At 42.9% G+C, this 14,105-nt stretch overlaps 1 protein-coding gene across 6 annotated transcripts in view; it reads right to left on the bottom strand.

Annotated features, from left to right (window-relative positions):
• The window catches only part of HEATR3 (HEAT repeat containing 3), a 41,303-nt gene that overhangs the window by 10,873 nt on the left and 16,325 nt on the right, over window positions 1-14,105 (bottom strand). For 4 of the 6 annotated variants that reach the window (NM_001329729.2, NM_001329730.2, NM_182922.4 and 1 more), the window contains 5 exons: window positions 12,373-12,463; window positions 12,109-12,266; window positions 11,749-11,831; window positions 10,049-10,185; window positions 1,607-1,695 (listed from right to left, as the gene is read on the bottom strand). In NM_001329729.2, coding sequence (NP_001316658.1) covers window positions 1,607-1,695; window positions 10,049-10,185; window positions 11,749-11,831; window positions 12,109-12,266; window positions 12,373-12,463 — 558 coding nt within the window. Of the gene's footprint in view, window positions 1-1,606; window positions 1,696-10,048; window positions 10,186-11,748; window positions 11,832-12,108; window positions 12,293-12,372; window positions 12,464-14,105 lie in introns of all 6 variants that reach the window. The other 2 variants (NR_138092.2, NR_138093.2) reach the window with 1 other exon arrangement.

Here is a 14,105-nt window from a genome sequence, read left to right as displayed (position 1 = left end):
TTAGATCCTGATTTGAACAAGCCAACTGTTAAAAGACGTTTTTTTCTTTTTCTGTTTTTTTTTTTTTTTTTTTTTGAGACGGAGTCTTGCTCTATCGCCTAGGCTGGAGTGCAGTGGCATGATCTTGGCTCACTGCAACTTCCGCCTCCCAGGTTCAAGTGATTCTCCTGCCACAGCCTCCCAAGTAGCTGGGATTATAGGAGTGCGCCACCATGCCCAGCTAACTTTTGTATTTTTAGTAGAGACGGGGTTTCACCATGTTGGCCAGGCTGGTCTTGACTTCCTGACCTCAGGTGATCTGCCCGCCTCAGCCTCCCAAAGTGCTGGGATTACAGGTGTGAGCCACCGTGCCTGGCCATGTTAAAATACATTTTTAAGGCAATCTGGGAAAACTGAACTTAGACTGCAGCTGGGAAAACTGAACTCAGAGTGCAAACCAAAGGATAATAAGAAATATCCGTTAATTTGGAGCCTTGGGGTAATGGTACTGGGGTTAAGATTTTTAAAAATTTATTTTTCTGTCAGACATGCATACTGAACTACATAATAAAATATTGATGGGTCTAATATGATTTGCTTTAAAATACTCCAGGAAACAAAAATAAGGACCCAGTGAGATGAATGAAACCATGTCACAAGAATGACAGGACGCTAATAACCTGCTGAGGCTTGGCGACGGTGCATGCAGGCTCATAGGGTTATCTCTGCTTTGGACATGGTAGCGCACACCTGTAATCCCAGCTACTTGGGAGGCTGAGGTGGGAGGATTGAATCCAGGAGACTAGCCTGGGCAACACAGTAAGACCCCGTCTCAAAAAACAAAGCAACATTATTATCTCTGCTTTTAGGAATGTTTAAAAGTCTCCTTAGTAAAAAGTAGCAAAAGTGGTAAGGCACCTATGGGAGATGAAGTGCACATGGATTGCTGTGAAGGGTCAGGAGGGCATGCTTGCAAAGTCTGTAATGAAATGTTAAAAAAAAAAAAAAAAAAAAAGCTGGGTACGGTGGTTCACGCCTGTCATCCCAGCACTTTAGGAGGCCAAGGTGGGTGGATCACTTGAGGTCAGGCATTTAAGACCAGCCTGGCCACACGGCAAAACCCCGTCTCTACTAAAAATACAAAAATTTTGTGGTGACGCATGCCTGTAATCCCATTTACTTGGGTGGCTGAGGCACGAGAATCACTTGAACCCAGGAGGCAGAGGTTGCAGTGAGCTGAGATCATGCCACTGCACTCCAGCCTGGGCGACAGAGGAAGACTCTGTCTCAAAAAAAAAAAAGATTTAAAAAAAAGACCAATGATAGAGAAATTATTTACAACATATCTATCAATTAAGTTGTATTGATTAAAAAGCACTTGTTTTGCTAGTAAGCCTATATATTAAAAAATTTAAAAAATTAAATTAAAAGCACCTGTGTGTTGCTGATGGTAGGGAGCAGAAAGATATTACTTTTTATTTTAATCACTTTTGTTTTATTTTTTACAAAGATCACATATTATTCTTGTAACAGAAATATGTATTTTTTAAAATAGTGAAGTAATGAATTTTGCCTCCATAATACACAATCTTTACAAGTTTCATACAAAAAATTTTAAAACTCTTACCTGGGAAATGTTCTTGGAGGCCATTGTTTGCAAAAGGGCCCTCAAAGCACTACTTATGGCTTCTAGAAAGTCAACATGTTTAGCAAAATCTAAAACACAAAAATGAAATATAAAATTTGCATTTCTCCAAGATAGGCTATTTTGTAGAAGCAACAAACAAAACAAAGCATGCTAAATGTTAATAAATGCTATTCTTAATAAAACAAACAAACAAAAAAAAACCCTCGATATTTAAGCCAAAATATTTAGTTAACAGCCCCCTGTACACTCTATACCTAAGTCTGAAAGATGATCGTGGTTAAAATAATCACAGCAAGGAGGTGTTCTACAGACAGTCCTTGACTTCCAGACACTGGGTTTTCATTTGACTCACACTTCAGCACATAATAAACCTAAGCTAGCTTTTGCAGACTGAATTCTGTCATTCATAGATCTCCATCAGGGTGCTGGGTAGAACTACCTTTGGTGGAGTCAGAATGCTTCCTTGCCAACCCAAGCCCACTGCTTAGCCACACACTGTTGCTTGTGCAGAGCCAGGACATGATGGCACCATCACTTTAACTGACCCAGCATCCCCTTCCCACTCCTACTCCTTATTCGCACACTTTTCTTATTGTCCCTTCTTCCCACACGGGACAAACAGAACACCAGCAGTAAGCCATTATGCTGGCACAGGCACGTGCAAGGGACAGTGAGGGTCACCCAGGGGAGTTGGCTCCTTAACCTCTTTGATGGGAAGAGATTTGCTTGGTGTGGTAGACTGTATTTTCTAAAAATGGCCATGGCAATATTTCAAGTCCTGTGTGATCTTCAAGAACCTTGCCACTTCCCATAAAGATGTGAAATCTACTTCTCCTTTCCTTAAATCAGGGTGGGACTTTGTGACTTCTTCAACCAACAGAATACAAAGTGACGGGCTAGGTCACAAAAGGCAGTATGACTTCCAGCCCTGACGCATGTGTGCATGCTCTTTTTTCTCTCGACTTCCGCCCTGGGAACCCAGCCATCCTGTTATGAGGAAGCCTGCGTCACATGAAGAGGTCACTGTGGGTGTTCTTCCTGACAACCCCTGCACCAACTGCCAGACACGTGAGTGAACAAGACTTCGGATGATTCCAGCCCATACTCTGCGAGTCTTCCAGCAGAGGCCCTAGACTAGTATTTCTCAGCCTCTGCACTACTGACATTTTGGACCAGATAATTCTTCATTTTATGTGTGCGCAGGGGTCTCCTGGGCACCGTAGGATGTGAAGGAACATTCCTGGCCTCAACCCTCTAGACACCAGTTGCAATTTCCAAGTTGTAAAACCAAAAATACCTCCAGACGTTGCCAAATGTCCCCAGGTGGGAGGTGGGAGGGGATAAGTGGCCATGGTTGAGAACCACTGGCCTAGACATTGTGGAATAGGAAAAAGCCATCTCCACTGTGCCCTGTCTAAATTCTTGACCAAAGGAAACTTCGAGAAATAATAAATGATTGTTGTTGTTGTTAAGTCACAGAGTTTTGGAATAACTTGTTACGTAGCAATAGATACACTCACTTCCTGCCCCACAGTTCCTGGGACTTATACCATTCCGATCCCCCACTTTTAGGTTACCCGGGTAGAAGAGAGGCAGCTTCTGTTCAAATTCTAATCCCGGCTGATTGTATTTTTTGGCTCTTTCATTTTCAGATATGTATTATGTACCAAAATAGGGGATTTCCCGTAATGATCACAGAATAATAGGAGAGCTTTACACACTCAGCCCTAGGATAGAGAGCTGCCTTTGACATAATTATGTGACTCCTCCTGCCTTCATTTTAGTCTTGGCTCAAATGTTACCTCCTCACAGAGGCCTTTCCACACTAACTGGCCTAGTGTAACGCCTCATATCATTCTGCTTTTACTTTTTTCTTCATAGCTAATATCACATAAAACATTTATTTATACTAGAATGCAAACTCCACGAACATATTGACCTGGCCTATCTTGTTCACGCCTGCATCCCTACCATCTAGAACAGTGTATGACATAAAGCATTCAATAAATACAAGCTAAAAGAATGACCTTGGGCCGGGCGCGGTGGCTCACGCCTGTAATCCCAGCACTTTGGGAGGCCAAGGTGGGCCGATCATGAGGTCAGGAGATCAAGACCATCCCTGGCTAACACGGTGAAACCCCGTCTCTACTAAAAATGCAAAAAAAAAAATTAGCCAGGCGTGGTGGCGGGCGCCTGTAGTCCCAGCTACTAAGGAGGCTGAGGCAGGAGAATGGCATGAACCCGGGAGGCGGAGCTTGCAGTGAGCCGAGATCGCGCCACTGCACTCCAGCCTGGGCGACAGAGCCAGACTCGTCTCAGGAAAAAAAAAAAAAAAAGAAAAAAGAAAAAAAAAAGAATGACCTGGAAGAGGTTCCTTAACCTCTCAGCTAAGGTTCCTAAATCTCAGCTTCCTCAGCAGGACAATGAAGTAACAAGGGCTGTCTCATAAAACGTGGTACCTAACAGGCACTCAAAAATCAGAGTGAAGTTGTTAATAGCCTGGACCTCCCGGGCTCAAGCAATCAGCTCCTGCCTCAGCCTCCCGAGTAGCTGGGACCACAGGCACGTGCCACCACGTCCAGCTAATTTTTCTTGTATTTGTAGAGACAGGGTCTCATCATATGTACAGGCTGGTCTCAAACTCTTGAGCTCAAGCAATCCACCCGCCTCAGCATCCCAAAGTGCTGGGATTACAGGTGTGCACCACTCCGTCCAGCCAATTTGTTGCTATTAAACTTCAAAAAGTTACCATATTGACTGCAAAGTGTATATATGATTAAAGCTCTAGGTATAGCCCTATAAAATTATGAATTTATAGATTTATGAATTGCACACAAAGAGGTGATTCAATGTCTTTACTCTCAACAACTTTGAACGATATTTTTTTTTTTTTTTTTTTGAGACAGAGTCTCGCTCTGTTGCCCAGGCTGGAGTGCAGTGGTGCGATCTTGGCTCACTGCAAGCTCCGCCTCCCAGGTTCATGCCATTCTCCTGCCTCAGCCTCCCGAGTAGCTGGGACTACAGGTGCCCGCCACCACACTTGGCTAATTTTTTTTTGCATTTTTAGTAGAGACGGGGTTTCACCATGTTAGCCAGGGTCTCAATCTCCTGACCTCATGATCTGCCCGCCTCGGCCCCCCAGAATGCTGGGATTACAGGCGTGAGCCACCGTGCCCAGCCAACTTTGAACAATATTTAAGAATTTGTAGCATGTCTAAATGTAGGTACATCATCAACCCACAAGTAATTATACTCAGGTGAATTTTTCAGACTGATTTAAAATTTTTTTATTATTATTATGTTTTTTAGACGGAGTATCACTCTGTCGCTCAGGCTGGAGTGCAGTGGCAAGATCTGGGCTCACTGCAACCTCTGCCTCCCGGGTTCAAGTGATTCTCCTGCCTCAGCCTCCCAAGTAGCTGGGATTACAGGCATGCACCATTACGCCCGGCTAATTTTTGTATTTTTAGTAGATATGGGGTTTCACCATGTTTGCTAGGCTGGTCTTGAACTCCTGACCTCAGGTGATCTGCCCACCTTGGCCTCCCAAAGTGCTGGGATTACAGGTGTGAACCACCACTCCCAGCCTGAATTTTTTTTCTTATTTTTAATTAATTAATTTCTTTTTTGAGACAGAGTCTTGCTCTGTCACCCAGGCTGGAGTGCAGTGGTGCAATCTTGGCTCACTGCAATCTTCACCGCCCAGGTTCAAGGAGTTCTCCTGTCTCAGCCTCCCAAGTAGCTGGACTACAGGCACACACCACCATGCCAAGCTAATTTTCGTATTTTTAGTGGAGACGGGATTTCACCATATTGGTCAGGCTGGTCTCAAACTCCTGACCTCAGGTGATCCAACTGCCTTGGCCTATCAAAGTGCTGGGATTACAGGTGTGAGCCACCGCGCCCAGCCACCCAGCCTGAATTTTCAATATTCCGATATGGAATGGAAAATATATCCCACAATGGGATACTACCATTTTAATTATAACTAAAAAAGAACGTTCTGATTCTCAAAATCTGGAAAAACAGAGAATCCTAAATGATTTCGGAACTCATGTAATAGAGCCGAATGACAGACTGACCCAATATGAAATACAACATTGCTAAAAAACGCATTGATGTTTTGAAAACCAATAGCTTTTAATGAAGGAGACAAAGAAATTAGTGCTTTTGAATGTAAGGACCAGATTGTACTAAAATGTGCTCCTTTTATCTCTGATATCAGACACAAACATAAATGTAGGTATGTACAGAGTATCACAAATGTTATAACTACTGTATTCAGAACTGTATTTAGCATTAAAATTAAAACAAGTTAGAGCAGTAGAACAATCATACCTTTAACTCTCAACCATAACACAAAACAGCAGAGATCTTTAGCCCCATTCTCCGCACTAAATTCTCTTTTTTTTTTAATTGAGATAAGAGTCTCACTCTGTTGCCCAGGCTGGAGTACAGTAGCACAATCATAGCTCATTGCAGCCTTGACCTCCTGGGCTCAAGCAATCCTCCCACTTCAGCTTCCTTGGGACCACAGGCGCAAGCAAGATACCACTCCTGGCTAATTAAAAAACCTTTTTGGAGGAGACAGGGTATCACTATGTTGCCCAGGCTGGTCTTAAACTCTTGGGCTCATGTGATCCTCCCAATTCAGCTCCCAAAGTGCTGGGACTTCAGGTGTGAGCCACCGTGGCCAGCCCCCACTAAACTATCTTGTAACAATTCCCACTATCCATATAGAACCCATAGGATTACATTATTAATAAATCCCAAATGCTTAGAAGGACTGTATTAGAATATCATCTCTAGGACGGGCACGGTGGCTCATGCCTGTAATCCCAGCACTTTGGGAGGTCGAGGCGGGTGGATCACAAGGTCAGGAGTTCAAGACCAGCCTGACCAACATGGTGAAACCCGTCTCTATAAAAATACAAAAATTAGCTGGGCGCATTGGCAGGCACCTGTAATCCCAGCTACTTGGGAGGCTGAGACAGGAGAATTGCTTGAACTTGGGGGGCAGAAATTGCAGTGAGCCAAGATCGTGCTACTGTACTCCAGCCTGGGCAACAGAGTAAGACTCCATCTCAAATAAAAGAAAAAAAAAGAATATCATCTCCAAATATAAGCGATTATCCTTTATCAAATTCATTCTGATAAGAAAACATTCTGTTACTCCAAAATAAATAACAATGACACTACTTTTCAAGTCATTTTGATTCTCCATTTCTCCGAATGCCAATATTAGGTGATACGAAGGCCACAGATGGGATACGAGTATGGGCCCCAAGCAAGCTGGACAGCCCAGAGGTATTGTAATGGCCCTCTTCCCCCAGCAGTAACCATCCAAACCCATTACATAGGCAAGGCCAATTCAGACTACCAATCCCTGGAAGTAACTGAGCACATGTCATTAGGTGAATACATTTTCAAAATTACTGTTGTGACAGTAACGTGTGGTAGGCGATTTCTACATAAATATCATCAAGACCCTCAGGATACACAAAAGCATTCTTAACCTAGCAGCATGTCACATTCCTGAACCTTAAAAAAAAAAAGATGATGTCAAGAATAGACATGAAATGGGAATTTATTTAAAATCAAAGTGCTTAGTTATATTTTCCCACAATTCAGAAACTTTCCATTATTTCTCCAGGACTCAGCTTGGGGCAGTTTTCCTGTGATCTTTGCAGTTAATAAATGTGCTGGCCTCAGTGACCACAAATAACCAGCAGAACCAAGAGAAACATATCTGAGTGCTTTCACTATAGCACAGGCACACAGGGAGTTTGTTTCAAGTGAAATAACCTCTGTGTGCTGCCTGGGGATGGGACCGGGGGTACCTGGACCAGACTCTCAGTGAGAAATGGCCCAGAGCTGAGAGATGGCAGCTTGTGGAACCAGGGCTGCCAGGGTTACCTAGAGCTTAGGTAGGGCTTGGAAGCAGTGAGAGACTTGGGGTCCTGCTCACCTGGGACCCTGGCTGTGGACTCCCTGCCTGGCTCTGCCCCCTGCCTCTACTCAGGGGAATGGGTGGGGGTGGGCATGAGCAACAGCAGCCCTCTCACTCCCACCCCACAGGACATCTTGCTGGGCTGATGGGAGCCAGAATGCTTGCAAAAGTTGGGGAAAGTCCCCTCCCCGTTTACCATCCAGATCTCTTCCAGGTTTAGGAGGCTAGGAGACAAATACAAAGCTACAGCCATCATCTGGTCTGCTCACACTGACGAGCTGCCTCTGTACTCCAGTGCTTGTCCCGTCCTGCCCTGGAATGGGAATGGGACTAGCACTGCCCATATCCTGACTATATCCTGTCCTGGGCATGGCTGGGCACAGCTTTCATGGGATCATTCCAGCCAATGAATGCACAGCCAGGGAGTACTTGAAAGGTACACCTGTTAACTGATCAATGTTGAAAGGGTGGCAGAGACAGCTCAGTAACCACATATGGGTTTCTGAATATTTAATTACTTAATTTTTAAAGATTAATTTAGAACTTAAAAAACATGTACCATTAAACACACAGCACCTCTTAGGAACTTGACGGAATGTAAAACAGATGTCTAAAGAACTGGGGACCAACACTTGAATGGATGTTGACACAAAAACTTGTATTTAGTTAAAAGTGACTCTCTTTTGATTTTTTTTGAAACGGAGTTTCACTCTTGTTGCCCAGGCTGGAGTGCAATGGCGCGATCTTGGCTCACCACAACCTCCGCCTCCCGGGTTCAAGCGATTCTCCTGCCTCAGCCTCCCGAGTAGCTGGGATTACAGGTGCCTGCCACCACGCCTGGCTAATTTTTGTATTTTTAGTAGAGACAGGGTTTCGCTATGTTGGCCAGGCTGGTCTCGAACTCCCAACCTCAGGTGATCCACCCGCCTCGGCCTCCCAAAGTGCTGGGATTACAGGTGTGAGCCACCGCGCCTGGCCTGATCTTTTAAGAGTTCAATTCTTGGACTTAATGTTGTGTCTGAAAAGGAGGATAAAATATATGAAGAATACACTGAATATAACACAATGGAATTATCTTATTTGCCAGTGTAGAAAGCAAATATCTTCACGTTTACCCTCAAAAAATCCTGAAAGACACCTGGAACCTCAGCAGCTGAGAGAGAGGGGCAGATTCCCACCTCCCAGGCTACCCTCGCTCCAGCAATGGATACTGGGTGGAGTAATGTGGAGAGTTTTCCTTCAGTATAGAAAACACCACTTGTTCTTCTCTCTCAGTCTCTCTTGTTTTTGTTTGGTTTGAGCTCCTATAGTTTAATGTGGTCAAATTAAGTAAGATTTTACTATGAGGAACTATGAAAATCTGTTAGAAGAACATGCATTGGACTTTGTACAGCTAGTTTTTGTTTTTTTTGTTTTTCCCTCCAAGTGAAACCTACAGCTAGGTCATTTAAAAGAATATTTAATTTAACTCTTGTATCGCTATAGATCTTTGTGTGCATATGAAATTAATCCGTATCAGAGACCTGTAACTTAAGAGAATCAGCTCCTACCATGCAAAGGTGTTTGAAGAAAGATACATGTTAGATGATGGCAAGGTGTAGAATTGTGTGGATGGTATTCTACCATTTGCCTTACACACACGCACGCATGCCCGCATACACACGCTCTCTTATACATGGAGAATCTCTCTGGAAGGATACACAAGTAACTGGTGCAACAGTAACTTGACTCTGGGAGAGGAACTGGGTGTCGGAGAAAGGAGGGAGGCTTTCCAGTTTCTGTCCTCTAATAACTTTTGAATTCTGTACTACATACATATATTAATCAAACTTAAATGCTTGTAACTGGGAAGAAAATAATAGAATAGTACTCAATTATTATTATTATTATTTTGAGATGGAGTTTTGCTCTTGTTGCCCAGGCTGGAGTGCAATGGCACAACCTCAGATCACTGCAATCCCCACCTCCTGGGTTCAAGCGATTCTCCTGCCTCAGCCTCCCGAGTAGCTGGGATTACAGGCATCTCCACCACCACGCCCAGTTAAAGTTTTGTATTTTAGTAGAGCGGTTTCATCATGTTGGCCAGGCTGGTCTCCAACTCCTGACCTGAGGTGATCCTCCCGCCTCGGCCTCCCAAAGTGCTGGGACTACAGGCATGAGCCACCGTGCTTGGCTGAGAATTATCCAAATACCTTAATGAGGCCTTTATGATATTTATGATACAGCCTTGACTGGCCTGATATAACTGGATGCAAACAATTTTAACAAAAAAGAAAATTATAAGCCCAGGAGCTGCTTGCATACCTCGTTTTGACTCTGTACCCCATGGCAACTATAAATACATGATTCCTGTGTCTGGGAAAGGTTTCTGCACATTGGATGACAAACAATATACATTTACAAAATCCAAATTCCTGCCCCTTCAAAATTCTGTTCCGTCTGCGTAGTCTTTCGCAATAAAGTCTAAATACCTGGTTGAGAAAAAAGCAGCTGTGACAGATGCTGTGCAAGCGTCTGAAGGGCTGCGGCTCCTCCCAGGTGCTCCACATCCAGGAGGGACACAAGACTCTGGAGACAGAAGAGGGCTCTGCACTGAATAGTGTTCATTCTGGAAAGGAAGTGAAACAATGCCATCTGATTCTCCAGAAGTTGCCCATCAGAATTCAGTATTAACTTTTAGCCTAAGCTTCACGTTCTGACTGGAAATATCTGTAAATACAAGGTATCTATGGCAGTTAGCAAAGAATCACAAGGTGAACTGTTTTTTGTGTTTTCTAAAATTTATCATCATTTTTTAGACAGGGTCTTACTCTGTTGCCCAGGCTGGAGTGCAGTGGTGTGATCACAGCTCGCTGTAGCCTCAACCTCCTGAGCACAAGTGATCCTCCTGCCTCAGCCTCCTAAGGAGCAGGATTACATGTGCATGCAACCACACCTGGCTAAGTTTTTTATTTTTTGTAGATAGGGGTCTTGCTATGTTGCCCAGGCTGCTCTGGAACTCTTGGCCTCAAACAATCCTCCTGCCTGTACCTTCCAAAGTGCTAGAATTATAAGGTGAACTGTTAATCTGCCAAATCAAACTGCTTGAATATTCACGGCCTCTGATACACAACTCATTCATGAGTCATGAGGAATATGTTTTAGAAAAATTTCTATGTAGGGTAGCATCCTTAAAATTATAATTTTCTTCAGACAGGGTCTCATTCTGTTTCCCAGGCTGGAGTACAGTGTCACCATCATAGCTCACTACAGCCTTAGACTGCTGAGCTCAAGCAATCCTCCCACTTCAGCCTCCTAAGTAGCTAGGACTACAGCTGAGTGCCACTATGCCAGGCTAATTTTTGTATTTTTTTTTCCTTTGTAGAGATGGGGTCTTGCTATGCTGCCCAGGCTGGTTTCAAACTCCTGGCCTCAAGTGATCCTCCTACCTTGGCCTCCCAGAGTCCTGGGATTATAGGTGTGAGCCACCATGCCCAGCCTAAAATTATTTTTAATTGTGAAATGTGACATATATACAGTTAAGTACACAACATACATAGAGAGTTTAACAAACAGTCTATGAAACCAAAACCCATGCACCTGGGAAAGAAATTAACACTGCTGGACCCTGAAAGCCCCTGTATCTCTTCCATATAATATCCCACCTCCCTGACACCTACAGGTAAGCACCATACAGACTTCTATGGTAAACATTTCCTTGCCTCTTTTTTTTTTTAATAGGTTTATCACCAAGGTATGCATCCCTGAACAAAATAGTTCAATGTTGCCTGTTTCTCAACTTTGTAAAAACTGAATCACAGTGTGTGTATTCTTTTATGTCTCGCTTTTTTGGTTCAACAATGTAAGTTCCATCCGAGTTGTGAGTAGCTCTAATTCAGATCCCTTTTACTGCTGCATGTATTGTACTGCGTGATTTTGTCAAAATTTATTTACCATTCTAACTCTGATGGACAACACGTTTGTTTATGGGTTGGGGCAACTGTGACACACACTGCTATGAACACTCTCATATACATGTATTCTAGGGCATGTGGGCACATATTTTTCTGGTATATATACCCAGGAACAAAACTTCTGGGTCCTAGGGGGAGTCAGCACCTTCTATTTAATAGCCCATCATTTCATAAAATAAAATAATGACAAATGTTTTTGAAAGCAGAAGAGTTCTTACTTTCTAATCAAAGGTTTCCAAGTAGGGTTCCTAGAACATAGGTCAACTGCAATGCTGTTTGGAAAGGCAGTTTTCTCAAAAATCTAGATTTAAAAGAGGCAGTAAAGCAAAGGTTAAAGAGTAGTCATTTAACACGATTCCCTTACATAATTCCAACATATTACTCCTAAGTGAAATGGTTAGGCTTCATATAGAATGACCTTTTCGCCTATTTCCAGTACTGTTAGGCTCAGCTTTGTCTCAGATCTTACCACCATCTACAACCTGGAAGTGTGAGCTTGCTTCTTTTGTACACAAAATGAATACCTTGCTTAAGCCTTTCCCATGCTCCACGGTAAGCCTAGAATGAAAATGGATTACCTTCTTTGGGATGAGGTAGTTGGTGAGAGCCGTGTGAACTTCATGGGAGAGGCAGAGGGGAGAAAACAGCTGTCCCCCGCACTCACTGAAGGAATTCTCCATAAATGCGTCACTTTCATCACTGCTAGAAAGCTCTTCCCATTCGTCATCAGAGGGATCTGGGAAGCGGGCAAACCACGCAGAACTGGAATAGTTAAGAAAATCTCCACGGGAGTTTCCCTCTTGGCTCAGGGGGAAAATGTCTAAATGTAAATGTTAACAAACCTTCATTGCAGCACATGTTGACAATAATTTCCAGAGCAGTCTGTTGGGCTGTCAGCAATGCTATAGTCTCTCTCAGTTCCTTGTCAGTGGGCTTAAAAAAAAAAAAAAAAGTAAATGACCAACTCTCAATGGTTGGGAAAATGTTTTTGGGGAATTTCCTTAGTGAAAGCCTACTAGAAGATTTTTGCGCTTGGAATAGAGCACACGGGGAATGGGGTAGGTAAAAGAAAAGTCATGAAGTGCCAGAAGTACAAACGAGCATTATAATTCCTCTTGGTACAGTGGAGCATGCCCCCGTTAACTGGGTTTCCATCTATCTGCATGGCTATTCCCCAAGCGTCACTTAGTTAGCTGGAGAGAACAGACAAATATTCAGGAATTCTGAACAGAATTCACCCTGAAACTTATCTACTGTGTCAAGAAGTAGCTGGGCATACTAAGATTTAAACAAGAGTTCATTTCAGACACCAGGCACTTAGAAACACCAAACCTGCTTTTAGATGCTTAGCTTAGATGTCTTTCTTGGAATGGCTGCGCTAACACACACTACTAACGAGCCCTTATGTGACCTGTAGAACTTGCTATGGAGCAGACAGACTTGCTTCCTGCCTTTCTGTAAAGACTATAATAAAGCATTTCTCTAAGACTAAAGAAAGAAGGAAGCTTTTTTTTTCTCTGAAAATATATAACGCCAACTTAAACTTAACATTATCAACCAACATTTCTTAAAATGGGTAATATAAATTTATATAACCTTAATTATCAAATTGTCTATGGAAAGTGAAATAACCATACTGATATTCCAAAACAGTACATGAGCTAAAAATAATGTATATTTTACTATTTGAATATTTCCAAACTTCAGTTTTCAATTGTCTTTTTTTTTCCCCCTTAGAGACAGAGTCTCACTCTGTTGCCTAGGCTGGAGTGCAGTGGCACGTTCATAGCTCACTGCAGCCTCAAATTCCTGGACTCAAGCAATCCTCTTGCCGCAGCCTCTGAGTAGCTAGGGCTACAGGTGCATGCCACCATGCCTGGCTAATTTTTTTAATTTTTGTAGAGACAAGGTCTTAGCCAGGCATGGCGGTGCATGCCTGTAATCCCAGCTACTTGGGAGGCCAAGGCAGGAGAATCCCTTGAACCCAGGAGGCAGAGGTTGCAGTGAGCCGAGATTGTACCACTGTGCAACAGAGTGAGACTCCATCTCAAAAAAAAAGAAAAAAAGAAAAAGAAAAAGAAAAAAAATTTACCTGCTTTTTTTTTTTTTTTTGAGAGATGGGGTCTCAGTATATTGCCCAAGCTGGTCTTGAAATCCTGACCTCAAGTAATCCTCCCACCTCAGCCTCCCAAAAGTGTTGAGATTACAGGCATGAGCACCATGTCCAGCCCCAGTGGCTTCTTTGTGCAACAATTTAACTGTAACTTCTAAGCATATTCTTAAAAAAAAAAAAAGCAAATTGCTAATTCAATAGACGTAGCTCAGGGATCCCTAAATTTGAATTCTACTTATTGGTAGCAAGAACCTATATAAAAATCATTTCTATTTGCTTTGTGTGTGTGCTAATTCAACTAAATATACATTTATTAGAGGAGATTCAAAGCTAAACAAGACATGTTGCTGCTGGGCTCTCATTCACTTAAAATATACGAAAATCTGGCTTATTCTTTTTTATTCTTTTTTTTTGGAGACAGAGTCTTGCTCTGTCACTCAGGCTGGAGTGCAGTGGCATGAT

The sequence above is a fragment of the Homo sapiens genome, chromosome 16 (assembly GCF_000001405.40).
Source record: "Homo sapiens chromosome 16, GRCh38.p14 Primary Assembly".
Taxonomy (NCBI): Eukaryota; Metazoa; Chordata; class Mammalia; order Primates; family Hominidae; genus Homo; species Homo sapiens.
The sequence above is the reverse complement of the archived record's forward strand: the minus strand, read 5'-3'. Positions and strand labels throughout refer to the sequence as shown.